This window comes from Homo sapiens, chromosome 12, assembly GCF_000001405.40.
Source record: "Homo sapiens chromosome 12, GRCh38.p14 Primary Assembly".
In the NCBI taxonomy this organism is placed as follows: Eukaryota; Metazoa; Chordata; class Mammalia; order Primates; family Hominidae; genus Homo; species Homo sapiens.
This window is the reverse complement of record NC_000012.12, coordinates 72,473,587-72,497,680: the sequence shown is the minus strand read 5'-3', so window position 1 is coordinate 72,497,680 and position 24,094 is coordinate 72,473,587. Positions and strand designations below refer to the sequence as shown.

At 33.8% G+C, this 24,094-nt stretch overlaps 1 protein-coding gene across 5 annotated transcripts in view; it reads right to left on the bottom strand.

Annotated features, from left to right (window-relative positions):
- Positions 1-24,094, bottom strand: part of TRHDE (thyrotropin releasing hormone degrading enzyme) — a 583,493-nt gene that overhangs the window by 173,078 nt on the left and 386,321 nt on the right. The window lies entirely within an intron of this gene.

Below are 24,094 nucleotides of genomic sequence, written 5' to 3'. Positions count from 1 at the left end.
GTAGATGAAAACTATCTGATATTTGAATTAATGGGAAAAATAATGAAATTATAATTATACTTCAACTTGACCAATGAACACTTTTGTTTATAAGAAATACGAATTAAAAGTGTGATTCCATTATGAAGATAAAATAATATTTAGCCATTTAAACAGCAATTGCCTGCTCTATTACAAGCCATTCAAGTACCTGATCTAAAACAACCAGGTAAAGTGAACTTAAAATGATGCTTTATTTAAACCTTAATTTTAATATTTGATAACAATAAATACATATTGATCAATATTAAAATTTACTAAACATACCTTGGTTTGCTAGAGATGTAATTTTTAAATGGTATAAAGTAAATGGCTATATAATTTAAAAAATAAAATCTAAAGTAAATTCCAAAGAGAAAACTTTCCTGTTAAAAGAAATATGAATTATATATCATATTACTGCCTCATGCTTCTGGAGGAAAACAAAAACAAACCTTGCCTAGTCAGTAGAATTTCAATAACCAGTGTTTAAGTTTTCGAGTGTTAAATCATTAGCAAACGATTTATCTGTCTACCTTGTTGGAGAGAACGATATTGTGTAATTAAAAAAACAACAATATTTATATGCATAAATGGATTAAGAGAGAGGGGGAACAAAGAAAAAAGCCTGGCAGGAGAACACCCACAAAGCCCAGAATAGCTAATACCTTAAATTGAGGAGGAAAAAAGAAAATTCTAGCCAGAAGCAAACTCAATTTAACAGACTTGCAAAGAGTTTCCAGCAGAGAAGGTGCTAATTTTTTATAAAGACCTGTGTCACTATAAAATGAGAAATGATCTTAGCTTGTCAGCCCTGGCAGGGGCTCTCATCATCATCAAAATCAACAATATCAGCAAGATTAAGTATTGGTTAATTGCCTACTGTCTACCTGAAACTATGAAAGTTTAAAAATAAAGAAATCCTAGCTTTAATGTGAGATAAGAGATAAAACAGAATATTTGGCCATAGTGAATGAAATAATAGTTTTATCTTACAGGCTGAATGTGCTAAAGGGATTTTGAGAAAAACAACACTGATTTGGTTTGGCTCTGTGTCCCCACCCAAATCTCACCTTCGATTATAATAATCTCCACATGTCAAGGGTGGTGCCAGGTGGAGATACTTGAATCATGGGGGCTATTTCCTACATAACTGTTCTCCTGATAGTAAATAAGTCTCATGAGATCTGACGGTTTTATAAATGGAAATTCCCCTGCACAGGCTCACTTGCCTGCCGCCATGTAAGACAGCTCCTCATTCGCCTTCCGCCATGTTTGTGAGACCTCTCCAGCCATGTGGAACTGTGAGTCAATTAAATCTCTTTCCTTCATAAATTACCCAGTCTCACATATGTCTCTATTAGCAGCATGAGAACAGACTAATATAAATACTGTTAAATGGAATGATTTGTGGAACATTTAAAGGAACAAGTAAAATTTGATCTGACTCTTGAAGGAAATTTAAAGTTTGGTGTGTATGTGTATGTAAGTGTGTACACATGCGTGTTGAAATGTTTGTGGTGAATATTCAACAGGCACTTATCATTTTATATCATATTTTAAGGCCACCATGATAAGTGACCTAACACTTTGAAAAAGCAGCACAATAAAACAAAATGGAGACTTTAAAATCTGTTTAAAATAAGTTCAATGTCAACAGTAACCATAAATTCCACCACTTCAATGTAGATACTACCTAGAGTGGTTGAATATGTGCCCACATTTAAATAGTTACAGTAATATCAAGTATATCATTTTGTATTCAACTATTTTCAAAAATATATTGCATTTGAATTTTTGGAGACTAGTACAAAGGCATTTCAGAAAAGTAAAGAAAATGTGAGTAAATGTAGAGTATATGTACATGAGTATATGTAGAATGAATACCATATAAAATAACACTGCCATTATTTTATGTATTCATTCATTTAACACATATGTATTAAATTACCACTCTATGCCAGATATTGTGCAGCATTTGAGGAATGAATATATCAGCGAAATCTAGGCCCTAACCTTAAATAACTCAACAGTAGAACAAAAAGTACAAAAAAGTACAGATAAACAGCAAACTGTAATATAATATGATGGATGCTATAAAACACAGAGGATGAAATGATTAATTAGTTCAGAAAAGGTTTCATAGAAGAGGTGACATTAAAGTGGGTTGTTGAAGGATGAGTGTTTACTCAGATAAATGGGGGAAACAGCTAAAAAAGGGCAAATCTGGCAGAGGAAACATGAAAGAAAGGCACTCTGCATTCTCAATTATCAGGTTGAAGCTTGGTCTTAATAAATAGGCAGTAGCAGGCGTAATGGCTTAATAAAAGTAGTGTCTTAGGAAAATTATCTGCAGTACACAGGATTATTTGATGCATGTAAACAGGAGACAGGAAGTGGGATGTGGTGATGATGTATTAGAACAAGGTGTTGCTGAAGGACTGTTGGATCTGAGAGATATTTTGAATGAAAAAAATTCAACCAATGTTGATACTTTGATGCCTTGGTTCCCTTAGTCGATGAAAGAGAGGAAATACTCAGAGATAACTACATAGCTTTTAGACATGATGAAACTTAAAAAAAAAAAAAAAAAAAAAAAAAACGGGGGAGGAACTATTGACAGAAATGGAGAAGTAGAAAAAGGTTTGGTTTGGAGGATATGCTAAAAAAAATCCAGTTTTAGACATTTTGCAAGGAAAATTAAGGTAAATATCTAAAAAGATATGTGCTATAGGCAACTGAAAGTAAAAGCCTGGGTCTAAGATAAGAGGCGAGTGCTAAAAATCTTTTGACAATAAATAGTAGTCTATATGTAAGTGAAATCTCACAAGGAATTCACTCTCTTAAATGTTATTTATTACAATATTAGCATTTCATATATTGGTATTCAGTAGCATCTGTGAAGGGAATTATTAATAGTTCTTATCACAGCATTAGGCACACCTGAGAAATTATATTTCTTGATGTCTTGTAATGGCTTCTGCCTGAACATGTCAAAGTCTGAGGAGTTAAAAGAGAATATGCCTGGTGTAGCTACAGTCACTGGTGATGGATGGAAAATAGGAAATAAGAGTAAGGATGTTGGCAGGTTCCCCTAGGAAGACTGACTAATTTTAAGGAAGAGCAATACAAGGCAGATACTTTGACTTTGTCACCAAAAAAAACAACCAACCAAAAAGCAGACCAAAAAAATCATAGAATAATCTAAACCAAGATCAAAGAAAGTCAGATACATCAAACCAGAGACAAGGAAGATAAGAGCCAAGACTGAGCCAATTCAAGTAGTTGTGAGGTATTCATAGGCATGGAGAAAGCAGAAGAAAAATTATCAAAGAGACATGGGTTACATCAGAGCAGCTACAAATACTCAATTTTCTAGAAGGATAGATCTGAACATAAATGGCTTTTATGGTATTCCTAGGATAAAAGGCAGATACATAGAAGCCTCCAGACTGGATATCTGCCATTCACTAGCTGTATAACCTTGAGCAAGTTACTCAAACTTTTTAGACCTCAGCATCCTCAGCTGCAAACATATGTGGTTGTAAAAATTAAATAAGATAATTAGTTCTACAAATATTTTTTAAGCACCTGCTATATCTCAGATGGTATGCCTGGTTCTGGGATAAGAAAGATACAAAGACATAAATCCTACTTGCAAAGGCTATAGAAGTAGGACAGAACAAAGGCGAAAACAAATGTTAAAACACAACTTGCTACATGTAAAAATGGAAGTAGGTTCAGGATGTAGTGTGACTACACCGAAAAGGCTGTTAATTATTCTGCCTTAGGCAGGGTAGAGTTTGAATTGAATATTTAAGGCTGATGTGAGTTTTCTAGGAGGAATGGCAGAAAAGGGCATTCTGGACAGAAAGAATAAGTGGGAAAAGTCACACAGACTTGAGATAGTGTGGTTCGTTTGGGGGACTACAGAGTTTTGTGTGGCTAAAGGCAGAGAGTATAACATAGTAAATTACCAGTAATGAGAAAAGGAAGATAGGCAATAATGAAATCATCAAGATTTTTCCATGCCTAGTCAGAAAGCTAGTGTTAGGAAGTGACATCATCAGGGCTACATTTAGAGATATAACTCTGAATATCTCTGAATAGTGGGAAAGTGGACTAGAGTGATAAGCAACTGGAAACAGAGAAACAGGACAACATTGCATAATTGTGCACAAATGGCACACAATATGTGCTTTACCTTTGTGATCAAAACACATTGCACCAATTATTTCTTTAAAACTTAGCTCTATTTTATAACCAATGGTGATCAACCAATGTATTTACTTTGAAATCCAAAATGCATACATTAAATATAGATATAAATATAAATGTAGGCAGATTTATAATGTATGTAGATGCAAATATAGATATCCAAATACAGTTATTTCCTTTTTCAGTATTTTCATTTGTTTATGTAATATCCTATTCTTGATTGTAATGTTCACAATATCTGGATATAATTTCTTAGGTACAGATAAAGGAAGTTTTTTAATCCTTGGAATCAAACAAATAGAATGTCTGACTAAAATTATAATGCTTGAATAATGCAATCTAATTCCACATATGTTTCCTGACTCCCTCTTCTATAGGAGGTCCTCCGTTAGAAGCAAAGGAGACATAATTGAGACACAATTCTGCCTTTAAGCAACTCCTATTATGGTATGAAAGACAGATACACATATAGCCCATTAATGCCATGTGATGGGTGCAGTATTATTAATAGTATAAAATACTGTGGGAGTAGAAAGTAGAGAGAATGTTATGAGTTAAAATGCTTTCAGTGTCTAAGACTATGTTGATTCAAGTTTACTTGAGCTACCATAAAGAGAACAAATAAGATATATAATTTATGTTTTACTTCTCTGGAAATCTATACTACAACATGATAAAGACTTTTAAGAGTCCCTAGGTTAAACAAAATACCACATGAATTATTACTAAACTGAACTCCTTATTTATACAAGGCTAGAATGAAGGATAAACACATAATTAGCACTGCACAGTTGGTGTTTTTCCTTCTTGTTTTTCATTACCTACTCAAATCATGACAAAGGTTAAAGCAGAGAAATATGATCAAGAGTTGAAAAAAAGTAAATATATTGGGGGAAAATATCCATCAGATTTTAATCCATGTGAAATAGTATCCCTGTAACTTTGCAATTATCATCTTTTGTAAGCATATAGCACAATGCCATATTTGTGAAAATTAGAAATTATGTAGACTTCAAATTTCCTATAACATTGAAAGAAATTTACTTTGTGAATTTTATATTGTCATCCAACTGTTTATAAAGTTCTATAATGTCCAAAAGTATTTTAAGTTCTACCAGTTGAAAGTTAGCTAGATTTACCAGTGAAAAATTATACCACCATTTAGCTGACTAGTAAATAATTTATGCACAGCTAAATCATACTGATAGAGAAAGTAAAAGCTAGTGAAAATAAATGTTGCTTCCATATACCAATGCACTTTAAAAATTAACATTTCAAAATCTCATGTGTAAAATATACTTGTCCAAGACATTAATTATTTTCTCTTGCAGCCTGTTAAAACAGTCCATTTATACTAAAGCCAATCTTGTGTAAACACACTTACATACAGAAGATATTTTTGAAAAATAATTTTAAAAATAATCACCACTAATGCCTACAATGAAACAAGCATTCTACTGAAAAGTTTGTTTGTTTGCATAACCTTTTATGGAAAGCGGTACATGATCACAAGACTCCAGGCATATCTCTTATTGATATAACATTATTCTGTGATTTTGCATAAGCATTACAAGTAACTGAAATAATGTGTTCCATATGTTATTTCTTTCAGCCATCAACTACATTTCATTCAATGCCAAGCTACAAAATCTCTAAGATGCCTTAATCAGTGCATAAACTTAAAAAGCGATTATATTTTATAAGAATATCTCAGGTGATTTTGTGCCTTTCATAATCCCAGATAACCCTCTGCACAGTTTTTATGAGCTGCTATACTCTCGGACATGATGAACACAGAGAAAGTGGGTTAAATTGTGGGTCTGTTCCATGACTAAACCCTTCAGCTGCCTCATGTTTTGTTTTTAACATCCAAGCTGAATGCGTCATGTCTCATTTTATCCAAGATGTGATGCGGCTAAGGGAAAATGCTAAGATAGAACACAAAATGAACTTAATGATATACAACCAAATTATTATTATTCTGCAGACTTACTCAAGAACCTTAAAAATATAGCAATATTGATACAGCAGAAGTTATCAATCAGTCACTCACATTTTCATTAATTATGATAATCCTGGGTCTTGTGGAACAATTGTGAATGTGCTTCAAATAATGTCAATCACAGTAATAATTACGAACAGGTTGTCTAATTACATAGCTCATTCTGATTCTCGCGGCCCAAAAAATCACTGCAAATAATCTCCATATGCCATGTGCTTTCATATAACCCTTTAAAAATATGCATGTCATTTAGCTTTCATTTATTTTTGAGGATTTCTTTTTTAGTTGCTTAAACTATGAATTGATTGTATTCTTTTTAATAAATATTATTGTGTAAATTTAAGGTATACAACATAACATGGGATATACATAGATAGTAAAATAGTTACTATAGTGAAGCAAATTAACATATCCATCATCTCACAGCTATCTATTTTTTTTTTTTTTTTTGGTTTTGTGGCAAGAGCAGCTAAAATCGACTCATTTAGCATGAATCACAGACACAGTACAATTTTATTATTTATAGTCCTCATATTGTATCTTAGACCTCTAGACTTGTTCATCCTACATAACTTAATTTGTATCCTCTTAACTACATCTTCCCATTTTTGGACCACCTCTCCACCTGTATCCACTGCTTTCTTCTCTATCTCTATATATTCAAGGGTTGTTTTTTTTTTTTTTTTACAGATTCCACATATTAGTGAAATCATGCAATATTGTTCTTTCTGTGTCTAGCTTATTCACTTAGCATAATTTGTCCCAGACATATCCATGGTATGACAAATGGCAAGATTTTATTCTTTTGAACAAAATGTGTGTGTGTGTGTGTGTGTGTATTTATACACAAAATTTCCTCATCGACAAACACTTAGGCTGTTTCAATATCTTGGCTATTGTGACTAATGCTTCAGTGAACACTGAAGTATAGATATCTTTACAAGACGGTGATTCCATTTCCTTTGGGTATGTATGCAGAAGAGGGATTGCTGGGTCATGTGGTAGTTCTATTTTTAATCGTTTAAGAAACTTCCATACTATTTTCCATAATAACTGTATATTCCTACCAAGTGTACAAGACTTTCCTTTTCTCCACAACTTTTCCAACATTGGTTATCTTTTAACTTTTTGATAATAGTCATCCTAGCAGGTATGCAGTGGTATCTCATGATTTTCATTTGCATTTCTCTGATGACTACCAATGTTGAGCATCTTTTCATATATCTGCTGGCTATTTTTATGTCTCTTTTGGAGACATGTCTATTCTGGTCTTCTGCTCATTTTTCAATTATTTTTTCTACTATTAAGTTGTATATGTTCTTTATATCTTTTGGACATCAATACCTTATCAGATATATGGCTGGCAAACTTTTTTTCCCAATCCATAGGCTGCCATTTTATTTTGTTGTTTCCTTTGCTGTACAGAAGCTTTTTAGTTTGATGTAGTCCCATTTATTTATGTTTTCTTTTGTGGCCTGAGCTTTTGGTGCATCACACCAAGATATCGTTGTTAACAACAATGTCCAAGAGTTTTTCCCCTATGTTCTCATCTAAAAGTGTTATAGTTCCAGTTCTTACATTTAGGTCTTACCCATTTTGAGTTGATTTCTATGGATGGTGTAAGACAAGAGTCTCATTTTATTCTTTGACATATGGAAATCTAGCTTTCTCAGCACCATGTATTAAAGACACAATCTTTTTCTCATCGTGTCTTCTTGGTGGCATTGTGAAAAATTACCAGAGCGTATATATTTGGATTTATTTCTGGACTCTGTATTCTTTTCCACTGGTCTATGTGTCTAGTTTAATGCCAGTACCACCCTCTTCTGATCATTATATCCTTGTAACATATTTTAAATCAGGAAGTGTGATGTCTCTAGCGTTGTTCTTTTGCTGAAGATTGCCTGGGCTATTCAAGGTTTTTTATGTTTCCATATAAATTTTAGAATTGTTTTCTTCTATTTCTGTGCATAATGCCCTTGGGATTTTGAGAGGAATCATGTTGAATCTGTACATTGCTTTCGGTAATATAGACATTTTAACATATTAATTCTTCACATCCATGAGCATGTGATTTATTTCCATTTATTTGGGTATTCTTTTTTATTTCTGAGTTATCTGTTCAAACTTCTTCACTTTAATTTTTTTTGTTTTTTGTTTGAGTCTTCTTTTTTCTTAATTAGGCTAGCTAAAAGCTTGATGATTTTGTATTTTTTTTTTCAAAAAAAATCTCTAAGTCTTATTGATTTTTTCTATGGTTTTTCCATTCTGTATTTGATTTATTTCTGCTCTGATTTCTATTATTTCTTTTCTCCTGCTAATTTAAGATTTTGTATGGTCTTCTTTTTCTAATTCCTTGAAGTGTAATGTTAGGTGATTTATTTTGGAGCTTGATTCTTTTTCAATGTAGGCATTTATTACTATAAAATCCTCCCTTAGAACTGCTTTTGCTGCCTCTCATAGATTTTTGTATGTTTGTTTTCATTGTCATTTGTCTCAGTATATTTTTTAATTTCCTTCGATTTCTTCTTTGCCCCATTGGTTGTTCAGAAGCATGTTGTTTAATTTCCACATATTTGTGAATTTTTCACAATTATCTGTTATTGATTTCTAGTTTCAGACCACTGTGGTCTGAAACGATGCTATCTATGATTTCAATCATCTTAAGTTTTCTAAGACTTGTTTTGTGGCCTTACATATGGTCTATTCTGAACAATGTTCCATGTGTCCTAGAGAAGAATGTATATTCAGCTGCTATTGGATAAAAAGTTCCATATATGTCTACTAGGTTCATTTGGTCAAAAATGCAACTCAAGTACAATATTTCCTTATTGATTTTATATCTGATTGATGTTTCCATTGTTGAAAGTGGGTATTGAAGTCCCTATTATTGTATTGCTATTCATTTCTCCCTTCATGTCCATTAATACATGCTTTACATATTTAGGTGCTCCAGTGTTGGGTGCATACACATTTACAATATTTATATTCTCTTGATTTAACCCCTTTCTCATTAAGTAATAACCATCTTTGCCTCTTTTGATTGTTTGTGATTTGAAGTCTATTTTATCAGATATAAGTATAGCCAGCCCTGCTTTCTTTTGGTTACAATTTACATGGAGTCCTTCCACCCTTTCACTCTCAGCCTGTGTGTCTCCTTAAAGCTTAAGTGAGTCTCTTGTAGGCTGCATCTAGTTGGATCTTGTCTTCTTATACACTCAGCCACTCTATGTCTTTTGATTAAATAATTTAAGCCATTTACAGTCAAGGTTATTATTGATAGGTTACTATTGCCATTTCATTCTTTGTTTTCTGGTTGTTTTATAACTCCTTTGCTTCTTTCTTCCTTTCTTATTATCCACTTTTGTGATTTGAAAATTTTCTGTAATTCTGAGCTTTGATTCCTTCCTAATTATTGCTTGTGTATCTGTTGAATTTTTTTTTGTTTTGTGGTTGTCATGAGGCTTAAATAAAACATCTTATAATCAATTGTTTTAAGCTGATAACAACTTAACTTCTGTTGCATACAAAAACTCTGAACTTTTACCATCTCCCTCCACAGTTTAGGTTTTTAATGTCACAATTTACATCTTTTATATTGTGTGTTCCTGGACAACTTTTTGTAGCTTTAATTATTTTTGACTTTTAACCTTCATACTAAAGATATACTGGATTTATATATCACCGTCACTATGTTGAAGTATTCTGGATCTGACTATACATTTACCTCTACCAGTAGTTTTATACTTTTATACATATTCATGATAGTAATTAACATTCTTTAATTACCATTTGAAGAACTTCTTTAAGTATTTCTTGTAAGTATAGTGGTAATATATTCATTTAGCTTTTGCTTGTCTGAGAAATACTTTATTTCTCCTTAGTTTCTGAAGGACAAAATTGCTGGGTATAGTATTCTTGTCTAAAAGGGTTTTTATTTTCTTTCAGTACTTTGAAAATATCATCCCGTTCTTTCCTGGCCTGTAAGATATCTGCTGAGAAATACACTGATAGTCTAATGGAGGTCTCCTTATATATGACTATGCTTTTCTCTTGCTGCTTTTAAAATATTCTCTTTGTCTTTCACTATTGACAGTATGATCAAAATGGTCCATGGAGAATACATCTTTGAGTTATTTCTGTTTGGCGACTGTTTGGGGACTACTGACAATATCACTTCCAAGACTTAGGAATTTTCAGCAATTATTTCATTAAATAAGCCTTCTCTTTCTTTTTCTGTCTCTTTTCCTCTGAAAATTGCATAATATGAATATTTCTTTACTTAATGGTGTCCTATAAATCCCATTGACTATCTACAGTTTTTAATTTTGTAAAAAAAAAATTCTGACAATCATTTCAAAAGACCTATCTTCAAGATTCTTCCTTCTTTTTGTTCTAGTCTGCAGCTGAAGCTCTTCAGTGTATTTTTTATTTATAGCTGAACTCTACAGCTCCATAAATTTGATTTGTTTCTTTTTAAATATCTATCTCTTCTTGTTTAACTCCTCACTCAGATAATGAATTGCTTTCCTGATTTCATTGTCTATTTGTATTCTTTTTGTATGTTGTTGAGTTTCCCTAAGATTATTATGTTAAATTCCTTTTTAGGCAATTTGTAAATTTCCGTTTCTTTGCAGGTTAGTTACTGAAGAATTATTATGTCCTTTGATAGAGTCAGGTTTCCTTGCTTTTTCATGTTTCTTGTGTCCCTGCATGTATGTTTGCATACTTAGTGGTGCGGTCACTTATTCTAAGCTAAGAGTGGCTTTTGGAGGCTAATACTTTCACCTGCAGATGGACATATGGGTGTCAGTTGGGCAGGGTGAAGTTGCTCTGGTTCCATGCGGGTGCAGTGGTGTAGTCTCTGTCTAGCTTCTTCAGTTGTTATCTACATTAGCAATAATTGTGGTACCTCAGTGGTCTTGGCTGCAGGAATTTGTGGAAGTGATGGTGGCTGCATAGGTTATTAGTGCAAGGGCTTTAGGGATCCTTCTCTTCTTATCTTCCCTACAGTAGGAGTCTTATCTGAGGGGATCTCTCTTGGTGTCATGTCTGACATGGCCCACAGGCACGTGGTACTTGGAGTCAAAGCACAGGTGATCAGAGAAACTGTGAAGACAGGTTTCTGGGATCAGGGTCTTGTAAAACTAACTATTATAGCACCTGGGACTTGAGGTGCAGCTTCACTTTCCAAGGTATGAGTAGATGCAGTTCTCCCACTAAGCTAAGAACTGTTGCTCTGAGGTACATCCCAGCAACCTGGACCCAGGGAACTGGGGTGTGGCTGTAGTTTTGATCCTAAGGGTCCAGGCACAGTATTGACATGTCTCTGGGGGAAAATAGGTTCTCCAGTGGCTAAGGCCTCCTGGAGCAGGATACAGCAGCAATGCAGGACCTGGAACCAACAAAACACAGTGGGGTATGAGGTACCACACAGTGGTGACTGTAGACCCTGAGAGGTTGGAACTAAGATGTATGGGTTCTGTGACACCAGGTGCAGCAGCAGCAAGTACTCAGAAATAGCAAGATGCCAATACGGCTTGGGAGCTGAAGGGTGGGAAGCAGTGCAGCAATGACCACTCCCCACAGAAGTGGGACATCTTAGAATCTCAAGCAGGGCACCTACTCAGCCTGGAGGTCAAGATAGTACAGCTCAGCCAAAGCTCTGATTCTCCAGGAAACAAGATGTTACATCTTCTCAGCCCCATAAAATGTGGCTACATGGGTCAACAGAGCCTCTGCATCCCTTTGTATGGGGCAGGACTCCGAGTTAGCTGTGACATTGGGGGTGAAACTGCGCTTGTATTCCTGAGACTTGGCTCCCCAGGGACAGGATGCTGCCTCACCTGTAGAATGGGGAGGGGTCAACTGCTCTGGTGTGGCAGAGGCCCCTGATGTCCCTCAGCTGTGGTGCCAGAGGCGTGACTGCTCTGGTGTGCAGGAGGCCTGAGGTCCCCAGGGGCTGGAGTGCTACTTCAGCTCAGCTCTAAGAGGTGGGTGCACCAGCTGCTGGAATGCAGAGGCTGGAGCAGTTCCAAAGTAGCTTGCCTCTAGGAGGTAAAGAATAGCAGCAGATCAGCTCAGGAATGGCATGCTACCAGGTGGGCATATTGCAGGGGCAGCAAAGTCTCAGGGATGGAAGGGTACAATGACTACTCACCCCTGGAGCAGGACACACTCTAATAGTGGCTCTGATTCAAGGTGGCACAGCACAGTAGCAACTTGAGCCATGGGGATGGGGAATAGCCACACTCCTTCTCTGGGTGTAGCTCAGTGTGTGGACTCTGGAGAGCTTCTTCAGCTGGGCTCAGAGCCTACGAAGACTGAAGGAGTCTCTAGTAGCAAAAACTGCAGCATCCATGGTGGTGATTGAGGCTACCTGGGTCCTCTTGCTTACCTTTTCTCTGCAGGAAGAAGTCCCTCCTGGTTCTGAGTTGATCCCAACTCAGGGAATGGGGTGACGGAGGCAATGAATTTCCTTCCCTTCCCTATGTAGCCATCCTGAGTTTCTGTGCTCTACTAGATTTCTGCTGTTTCTTTGCTGTTCTATGGAGCTCTCTTTTAGTTATTTTGGTCAAAATGTAGTTATTTCTTTGTTGTCTGGGGACTTTTCTTGTGGGGGAAAAGAGCACTAAAAACTTCTTGTTGGCCATCTTGCTGACAACCAACCTTTAGGATTTGTTGCCACCTTTTCCTGTTTCCTCAAAACATTTATCCAACATAGTTTCATACATATTCTAATTTCAATGTCTTCTTTTGTTCAATGAATGCATTCCTAATAGCAACATAGAAACTCTTATAATCTTTCATAAGTGATCTTGACATTTGTTAACATTCATTTCATAATTTTCTGTTAATTTTTGGCCAGACTTGTATTGCTGAACATCTCATATATGCTAAACTTTTAAATAAATGCTGGGAAATGATGGTGAAACAAACAGTCTCTAATCTGATAAAGCATATATCATTAGTGGGGAATACTTGCTTTCTCTTCTTTGCTAGTTAACATGAACATTCCCATTCTTCTAGAAAATGTCACTTCAGGATCCTGTCCATAGATTTTAAGTTTCTAAGAGATAATACTTCCTTCACCTTTTCAAGAATTTTATACCTACTTTGGTGGTAAGAATATTTTCCTGCATGCTAAATTTTTTAACAATCTGATAGGACATTTCAACAAAATCAAATTGGCTAATCTTTTTTCATACTTATCCATTCATTTTGCACATTAGTCATAAGGAATCTCCAATATTTTGCAGACACTTGAGAGAATTAAGGCATTTTAATATTTGACAAAATGTAATTCAGAGCATTTTTAAATGTATACGACTAATTTTCTTAAACAGATTATATTTCTGTTTAAATTTCTAATGGAAACTGTCTCATACCATTCAGGTTTGGAATAATTCCAAGGATGAGCTAATCGACTCCCAGAAGTTATTAACATGGTGATGAATTTATGTTATTTTAATTTATAAAATAAATAGCCATACAACTGATCTTAATTCTGTAACAAAATTATTAATTTTTATTAATTGATCAATAGATTTTATAAAACAAACCATTTTTGTACTTTACTTTCAATGTGATATGAATTGTCAATCTATCAAATAACCTAGTCTGATAAAACCTTAACATTTGTCAGATAATAAGAAGTCTTTATATTTCCAATGAAACTAAAAAGCATTTTTTGAAATTTGAAAATTTTGATAACCCAGAGCAAACAACTCCAGAACATATAGAGTACGAAGAGCCCAGAAAGTTAATCAATTAAGAACCTATCATATAAAACTGCATTTCAAAGTAAACTATTATATTTATAAACTGATTGTATAATTAGTAGAGAAAAGCTTTGCTCTTCAGAATGTAAAATCTGAACTTGCAATCCATTTATAAAGTATAAAAATGTTAAAATATGATTACCCTGCAGGTAATATTATTATACTTAAGTACCTAATAATAACAAAAATATTGGTTAAAAATGATAGTAAGAATATAAGTTTCTTTAATTCTTAAAACTAGTCTGTGATATAAACAACATGGGGATTTCATACATATTTTGAAGCTGGATAAACAAGATCACACAGCTATTAAGTAGCAGACAGCCAAAAATTTAATTCATGGGATAGGTAGAAAAAGGAATTGAACTTCATTCTGGCTAACTGTAAAGTAGCATTCATTACTCTAACTCTAACAAAGATAATCTAACTAAATTGGTAAAATAGGTCTGTGAGACTTAGAGGGCATTGATGTTCCATACTTATTTGAGTGTCTCCCATCCCTGACTGAGAAACCAGCCAAAAAAAAAAGGGAGGAGGCATACAGTAAATGTTTATTAAATGAAAGAAGAAAGAGAACAAGTCAATGTAGATTAATCCTTGTAAATATTTGGTCAGTGAAGAGCCCAAATATGCCAGCAAAATACTTAGCAATAAATAGAAAATACTATCTTGTTGTAGGAAGCCAAATTATTTTTAGGCCTGTAAGTTATATGTCCTGTCATCTCTCTAAAGAAGCCAACAATTTCAAGAAAAGTTCCCTGTTTTAAAACTAGGGCAACAAATTTGTTTATAGATTTTTTTAGTTTTTCATTAGTCACCACCAATAGTGTATCATGATTCAAGTGCTTCAAATTGGACCAGTCATGCAAATAGTTAGGAACAGAATGTAATTAATGCCAAATTTTCCTCTGAAGGGGCAATCGATCTAAACTTGTCTTTAATCAGGAAACTTATAAAATAAACAATATTTAGATGAAAATATTCCACCATACTACCACCACTGCCACTACAATCAAAAGAACAGAAATCTGCTATTTAAGTAACCTATCTTGCAAGCAAAGCTGTGATATTTAGGGAAAGAAGCAAGACTTAAAAGCATAACTTACCTGAGCAGAAAGATACTCAAAAATCTAATGAAATGGCCATTGTAACTAGGTTAATCTGAGCAAACATTACAAAATATGTTTAAGCCATGTAATATAAAAATAATAATAGGTAGCTAAATGTTCTGATTATTCTATGATTTTGCTAATCCTCTGAAACTTACCATGCCCAATTTTATTTTTCAAATATATCTATGAATTAGAACAACCTGATTGAGGTGATGGCTCTGTATTTTTGAGCTGCTCTGTAAAAAAGCTACTTCTGACAGAAGTATATCGGTCAGCTAAGAGCCAATAAAAAAAAATTTCCTAAATTTATCCACATCTACTAACTGAAGCCACCAAGCAAAAGATAAATACAAAGTATACAAGAAACTGATAGATACCAATTCCATATTATCATGAGATTTATTCCATAGAAATTAGCACAAGTGGCTCATTTTAGGTGCTTGACAATTCTCTGATGGAAATAAATAGAATGAATGAAATATATGAGTGAATAGAGTGAGAGAAAATGTAGCAGCAATACATCAAACTAATTTATATAAAATTATTGACCTAATATACCATTAACAGCACTTAAGAAGGGCCTCACTGAACTATAAATAAAATCTGAAGAAGAAAAACTAAAATGATTAAGGGAATTAATTGGACACAGGTGTTTTTGAAGTGGGTGCTAAGGGGAGAAAAGCATTCCCATGTATCTTCATCTTTAATGATGTATATGACACAAACTGACAAAAATAAGACTGTAATCAGTGGAATTTAATTTCATCAATCCTAGGAAAAGGTACAAAGCTAAAGACATAACAATTTTCAAAGGGAGCTCACTCAAGTTTGTGAATGGTATATCCACAGAAGTTATTCAGCTCAGTGTCAAAACATGTTCTAGCAAAAATATCTTTTGAATTAATGGTTGAGAAGAGCTGCCTGAATGGCAGAACTGAACAGTGATCTAGCCAATATAATACTCTTCAGACTCAAAAAAAAAAAAAAAAGACTGTAGAGAAATTTGACATTCTCCAGGTACTGACAGGTCTTACTCTATTTCACAGTGAATTAATATATGTAAAGTGTTGAGAGGTACAAAGTAAATGCTACACGAGTCTTTACTATTAAAACGGATAAAGGAGTAACTGAGGCAAAATCTTCATCAACCTCAAATTATCCTTTTTTTTTTTTTAACTTTCTCTTCACAGGAGGCTCTTTTCTATTTTTCTGGTTTTTTTTTTTTTTATTCTATCACTTGAACTCACTACTTTCATTTCTGGCATCCTTGTCTAGGGATATCTTGAACAGTATTAAAGTAACCTTGATAAAAAGAAAAAAGAAAAGTCCCATAAAGTGTTATGGACTGAGACAATCACTCCTTGCTTAGAAATGAGTTGTGTTCTAATGTCTTTTAAAACATATAGCTGTCTGGTTAAGGATGATTAATAATTAGAAAATTAATGAATTTTTCTTTGGTTGCCCTCTGAGTCCCCAGCTTTTAGTTTTGGCTATGTTCATGCTAGAGGCTTTGCAAGGCAAATTCATTTTACCTGGGGAAATGCTGAATAATAGCAGATGTTGAACATTCATATATTAAAAGAGAATAACGTTTTTACCAGGAGTGGTGAGAAGGAGAGATAAAATAGTGGTCTAATATGCTATGGCCACTATTATATATTTGAGAATAATAATATCTAAGAAGACATTTTGTCATTTTGGTATAATTTTTGGCATTATCAATTTTTTGGTTTATCAAGTGGTGTCTGACAGTTTTTTAGCAAACTGGAATATTCTGCTTACAAACTGCTCTTACTTGAAAAGAGAATGAATAGGTTCATTTTCCCCTCGGTATTTCTAGATATGAGAAAGGATGGCCTTGCATTATTGTTAGACTCCAGGTTTAGTAAGTGTTTTCTTCTTAGAAAGCATCTAATGCTGTAAAGTTACTGGTTGGTTTTGAAACTCCTACAAAAATGTAAAAGGACCTTGACACTATGCAAATCCCAACACAGTGCTCAGAAGAAATACTTTATTCCATAGGGAATACTCATTCATTTTAAATCTCTAGGTTTAAAGTATACAAGACCTGAAACCATCTTTCTGAGCAAAATGACTTTGCTTTAACAATCATCCTTTAAAAAATGCTCACCATCACTGGCCATCAGAGAAATGCAAATCAAAACCACAATGAGATACCATCTCACACCAGTTAGAATGGCAATCATTAAAAAGTCAGGAAACAACAGGTGCTGGAGAGGATGTGGAGAAATAGGAACACTTTTACACTGTTGGTGGGACTGTAAACTAGTTCAACCATTGTGGAAGTCAGTGTGGTGATTCCTCAGGGATCTAGAACTAGAAATACCATTTGACCCAGCCATCCCATTACTGGGTATATACCCAAAGGACTATAAATCATGCTACTATGAAGACACATGCACACGTATGTTTATTGCGGCACTATTCACAATAGCAAAGACTTGGAACCAACCCAAATGTCCAACAATGATAGACTGGATTAAGAAAATGTGGCACATATACACCATGGAATACTATGCAGCCATAAAAAAGGATGAGTTCATGTCCTTTGTAGGGACATGGATGAAATTGGAAATCATCATTCTCAGTAAACTACTGCAAGGACAAAAAACCAAACACCGCATGTTCTCACTTATAGGTGGGAATTGAACAATGAGAACACATGGACACAGGAAGGGGAACATCACACTCTGGGGACTGTTGTGGGGTGGGGGGAGGTGGGAGGGATAGCATTAGGAGATATACCTAATGCTAAATGACGAGTTAATGGGTGCAGCACACCAGCATGGCACATGTATACATATGTAACTAACCTGCACATTGTGCACATGTACCCTAAAACTTAAAGTATAATAATAATAAAATAAAAATTAAAAAAAAACAAAAAAAAATCCTTTAAAAACATGTATAATTTTTTTAATTTTCAGCTTTATTTTAAATTTTAAAAATTCATATAGGAAAGGATGTGAGGTAATGTGACTAACACACCTTCCAGATGCTTACCTGAGTAGATAGAAATATATGTTAATATACAGTGAATATACACGAATACTAATGAATTATGCTTGTTTTATCTTCCTTTTCTAAAGATATCTTACTTAGTAAAAGCTAGTCTTCCATTTGAAGCAATGAAAGAAACAGATTTTCATTTCCTGAAACTTAACACATCTTTATAACATTGAGGCTCTTCAAAAGCTTCTATTTCCCAAGCAACTGTGAATCCAAAGTCTTGATTTTTATATAAGAACTACAAGTGCAAACAAAATGAAAACATGTATATATTATATATTCTTCAGTTGTAGTATTATACTCAAAAATGTATCTGTGCTACACAATTTCTACATCAGTTAATATACTTCAACAATTAACAAAGATTGTCCAGCCTTACTCATTCATCTTTCTAACAGATGTTCTTAACATGGCCAATGCCATGTTAACCAGTGCCACAACAAGACATTCTGAAATGCACAGAATTAGTCCTAAAATGAGAAAAAAATGTAAATATAGGTTGTTATTGCATTAGCCTCAGTGAAAGCTAGTTTAACCTGTTAGTGTAACAGGTAAAGCTCTCATTTTAACTGTTTTTGTTTTTTTTTTTTTTTTTTTGCTAAAAAAAAGTATTAATATCTATTCAGTCTCCACTGGTTAGATTCCAGTGTCAGGCCTGCTTAACTCTGACATTCTTTTTGAATTATCTGAATACATACACACTTAGAGTTCTAGTTTAATTCTCAATGCATGGGGCATATGCACATTAGGATTCCTCAAGCATATACTCAGTGTACAACTACAGCACAGGAGATATTTTGCTTTAATGGCATTAGCTGCTGCTCTCATTGCTGCTCTTATATCCTCCTTGTAGTTTCTTTGTCTTTGCTATAGGCACATTATCCACCAATGCCAAAATCTTCTCTAACTGCAAATGCCAGGAGAAAAGCAAACCTTTCTCCCGTAACAGGGAGCTGCAGGTCCCCAGTTCCTCTTAAACGGAAAAACATGTTTCTATTCTTAAAAAGACGTTTATATTTTCAGTAAGGAAAAAAGTTTGCTTGCTGAGCAAATCGGCTATATTTCAGTTAGTCAATGATTTTCTCAACTTCTGTTGAGTAAAAATAAAATAGCCTTAAAAAGCAGGAGGGAACAGAGAAAGGAAAACGCAGTCAGAGAAGAGGTCCATTTCAAAGACTGGGATTCCATGAGACCCAAACAGGCATGCTTTCCACTTCCTTATGGTCTCTCAATGTAAATGTCACTTTTAAGCAACTGAACAGGATCAAAAAGACCAAAAGCCCTTGGGTCCAGCCCTAAGAAGCCTTTAAATTTCTCACATTCACTGGGTATCAGTCATTTGAGAATAAAATATCAATAAATTAAAACATTTGGATCACCTTCTAGTTTATTACTTCAGAGGAGTTATTTTGCAGACTGAACTTCAGTTGCATTAATAATTATCTTTATGCCCAGGTATGTGTCCTTACAAAAATTAAGAGAAAATTTCCAGTCTGCTGACTTTATCAAAGTATAACTTATAATGTTTTTGGTGCGTGAAGCTCTTTACCTTCCCAATTTCTTTAATGAAAGAACATACACTCATGTTTAATGATTCTCATTATAGAAGCACTTTCTTGTAATGCTATATTCAGGAACCTGAAGGAGTCACCTAGAATATAGACAACACAAATTATAATGACACCTATGCACTATGCACAGAGGATATGACTTGACCTGCATCGGCACCAGATCTTTAAAATAAGGAGTTCTCCATTGCAGTATTTTAATAAGCAACTTTCTGCTGTATTAAAATTTTAACATAAACTTTTTTCAAATTAAAATGATCAAGAGTTGTTGAAGAACAGTTACTGTGCTGTGTCAGTCCTTCTTTTTATCTCTTTTGAGGAAACACAATAAGATTTAATATGATTGCCATCAATGGCATACTGTAACTTAATCCATCCAATAATGTTGTCACTAACAGCCAACTTTGATAAAATAACATCAAGCAAAAAGACTATTCATGCTATGAATCCTCTTTGAAATGTGTCTTCAGCCCTAAGCTGAGGAGGTCGTTTCTAATGATCTTGACACTTCTCTTTGATGAATGAAACATTATCTAAGGCTTATGTTCCTATGGAATAGTCCACATTGCCAGTATAGATAAGAATTTATTTGGTGAGACTGAATCTAGATACCAAGTTTATTTTGTACGTATAAATAATTGGTATAAGCCTAAGAAGCCAAAATGGATTACTAGGGTTGGAAATGTTAGCTTATCTATACAAAAAATCAATGTACTTTTCTAATAGAGCTTTCATTTTCCCAGGCCCATGATGCCTACTTACATTTGTAGAGTGGTTCATACATTTCAAAGACCTCATAAGTTATTTTGTCTTCAAAAAAATTATGTGGACTTACTAAGTCAGTATAATTCTCCCATTTTCAAATGATAAGGATGAGTTAGAAAGGGGAAATGCCTTCCTTGAAATCTGAGCTTCTTATTTCCAATCTATCCCCCTGACTTGTATCATACTTCCTGTAAAACCCCATATCTATAAAATGGTAAAGTTGATTAGTTTGCTAGAGGACAAAATTATCACAAAATGCTTATTGTGATAATTTTATCATATGTAGTATTCCTTAATTCTATATCAGAAACTGGCTCTGAAAACACACATACATACAACCTAAGATTTTACTAACAGTTAAGCGAAGTATACTGGCCTAAGTCAGAACAAGAGCCTCCTTAACAATACTATGTAATTCTAGGCTTCTTTATTGCTAGTCCATGGAAGGTAGATTGCCATAGTATCTCTCTAGCAGATAAAATTGTTTTTCAGTGTTTGAGCCTTGATGCCTAAAAAAGCACTGTTTTTGAGATTAATGGCAAAAGAGGTCAACTTCCTGAATTTCTTTACTCCTGACATGAGCCTGACTTCTGGTTTTTCTATTACAGGCTCAGGTGTAGTGAACCTTAAGCCATGCACTTACAGACAAGCTTTTACGCATATCACAATAGTATGAGTTACTGCTGACACAGCCATTACTCTTGTCCTTTTGAGTATTTCTTTCACTCTTTTGCTGATGCCATTATGAAAATTCGTGCTGGCAGAGCCTTCAAGGCACTTAATATCCTCTCTTATTTATGTGGCTATCTTATTCTTAATTGTTTGCAAAGAAGGTATTAATTATATATGGAGGGGCAATTTGTTTATAGAGTTTCTACTTGTAGGTTTTCTGGATTTATATTGAGCTATCTCACAAACTAAAAAGCAAAAGCAATCAAATAGCAGAAAGCTTTTTAAATCTATATAACCTGAACACAAAAACACATCATGACCTGTAATCCCAGCACTTTGGCAGGCTGTCGCAGGTGGATGACCTAAGGTCAGGAGTTCGAGAGCAGCCTGGCCAATATAGTGAAACCTTGTCTCTGCAAAAAATACAAAAATTAGCCCGGCGTGGTGGCTCACACCTGTAATCCCAGCTACTTGGGAGGCTGAGGCATGAGGATCACTTGAACCTGTGAGGCAGAGATTGCAGTGAGCCAAGATCGTGCCACTGCATTCCAGCCTGGGCCACAAAGTGAGACTCTGTCTCAAAAAAACACAAAAACAAAAACAAAAAAAACCCATCATAATAAGACTTGTTTCTTCTCACTATTAACTGTGTAATTAAATGTGATGGAGTTTATTATTTCATTTTTTACTTTAATAGGATGAGTTTTCTGTGACACCGTAATTATTCTGTTGTTAGTTTTCATTTCTTAATTATTAAATATGGATTTAGAAGTGATCAAATCTTATATCTGACTCACCTCAAGGTTTTTATACTCCTAATGCATGGTCTGTGTTTAATTAAGAACAAAGTCTCAGTTGTCTTATTTACACTCTGTGTTCATTTTCAATACCTCTAAAAATATTTTCCAGAATTCCTATATTTACAATGTAACTGATAAAATGATGAAGAAATATGAAAAGTCATTCAAAGACAAAATTTGGAATGAGGATACTGAAACTGAAGATATATTACCATGCTAAAACAATCAAAAGCTGTCACTTTTCACCCCATGTATAATTCTGTTGACTACTTTTAAATCTAAGATGCATTTTTCATAATGGTGAATAGAAAGAATTTTATCACAGGTATCTGAATGAGCTAAAAAAAGCAACACCTATGCATAACACATCACTTGTAATAAGGACATCTTTTAATATTGAAACATAATGAAATTATAAATCAGGAATAATCCACAGTATAATAAAAATTAAATGAGAAATTTAAACAAAGTTGGTGGAAAGTCATCAAAAACCAAAAGATACTTTTGGAAATGTTTCAGTTACCGTAAACATTTACATTTTAAAATTACATGTTTTTTAAAGAATACTTCCAATAATATAATGTTGTATTGCTGATTTTTCTTCAGTGTCATTTAAAGGCATTGTTAATTAATTTGAATGCCAAAATAAAACACTTCAATTAAGATATTAAAATTATGTTATACATATATAAATGCCTAGGCACATAAATCAAATAAACTTATCTTGTAGATTTGTGCAAGTGAGTCATGTTGCCTTCATAAAATATCAGTAAAATTGCATGAAAATAATTAAAACACATTGATATGGTATTACTATCTTCACATTTTTGTTAAAGTAATTTCATTTTTTTTTCTCAGCAGGAGTCGTTTAAATTTATGTTGGAGAAGTTATATGATGACTTACAGATGCTTTCATATTTTACCTTGGTTTACGTGTTCTTCAAATTATACTTGGAACAATAACAGACAAGTAGATAACTGCCTATTACTACTTTAGAACATCAAAAGAGAGCAGTATAAAATATTTTTGGAAGCAATCGATCCACTGACAGATGAATGGATAAAGAAAATGTGGTGTATACACGCAAGAGAATACTATTCTGCCTTTAAAAAAGAAAGAAATTCTGCCATTTGTAACAACATGAGTGAACTTGGTACTTCATGCCAAGCGAGATAAAATAGACAAATACTACATAATTCCACTTCTATAAGAAATCTAAAATAGTCAAATTCACAGAAGCAGAGAATAAAATGGTGGTTGCCAGAGGCTTGGGGGAGGAGGAAACAAGGATGTATTAGACAAAGTGTACAAAGCTTCAGTCATGCAAGATGAATAAGTCCTAGAGATCTACTATAGAGCATAATGTGTATATTCAATAATTCTGCATCACACACCTGAAAACTTCCTGAAGGGCAGATCTTATGTTGTGTTCTTATCACCAAATAACAATAAGTAAAGAAGATAGGTAGAAAATTTTGGAGGTGATGAATATGTTTATGGCATAGACTGTGGTGACCATTTGTTTTATGAATGTACACTTATCTCCAAACTCATCAAGTTGCATACATTAAATATGTACAGCATTTTGTATGTCAATCTTGCCTCAATAAAGTGCTTTAAAACAATATATACATATATGTATGTGTATATATATGTATGTATATATATGTATGTGTGTGTGCATATATATGTGCGTGTGTATATATATACATAATCGCCTACGCTATGTCACAAATAAAAGTTGAGCTTTTGGAAATTGATAAGTATTGGTACATTGCAATTTTTACTTAATTTAATAGTACCACTTAAAATAAATTTAAATTTGAATTTCAGAACAACATATATATACCCCGGGTTCTATTTAATAATCACACTGTCACATATTGATCAGTGAAAGCTTATATAAAATGAAAAACTGATATAAAAAGACATATAGCAAAACTACACCCTCCCTCTACTTTTTCTTCTAGGATGCCCTATAACAGCACAGCTTAAGGCACAAAAACCTTTCTTCAAGTTCTGACATTCCTAAAGTATAGGTATAATATGAATAACTTCATATATAAAATTAATGACCTCTTATTAAGTCATTTAATCCTAAAATACATATATCTACAACAATAATAC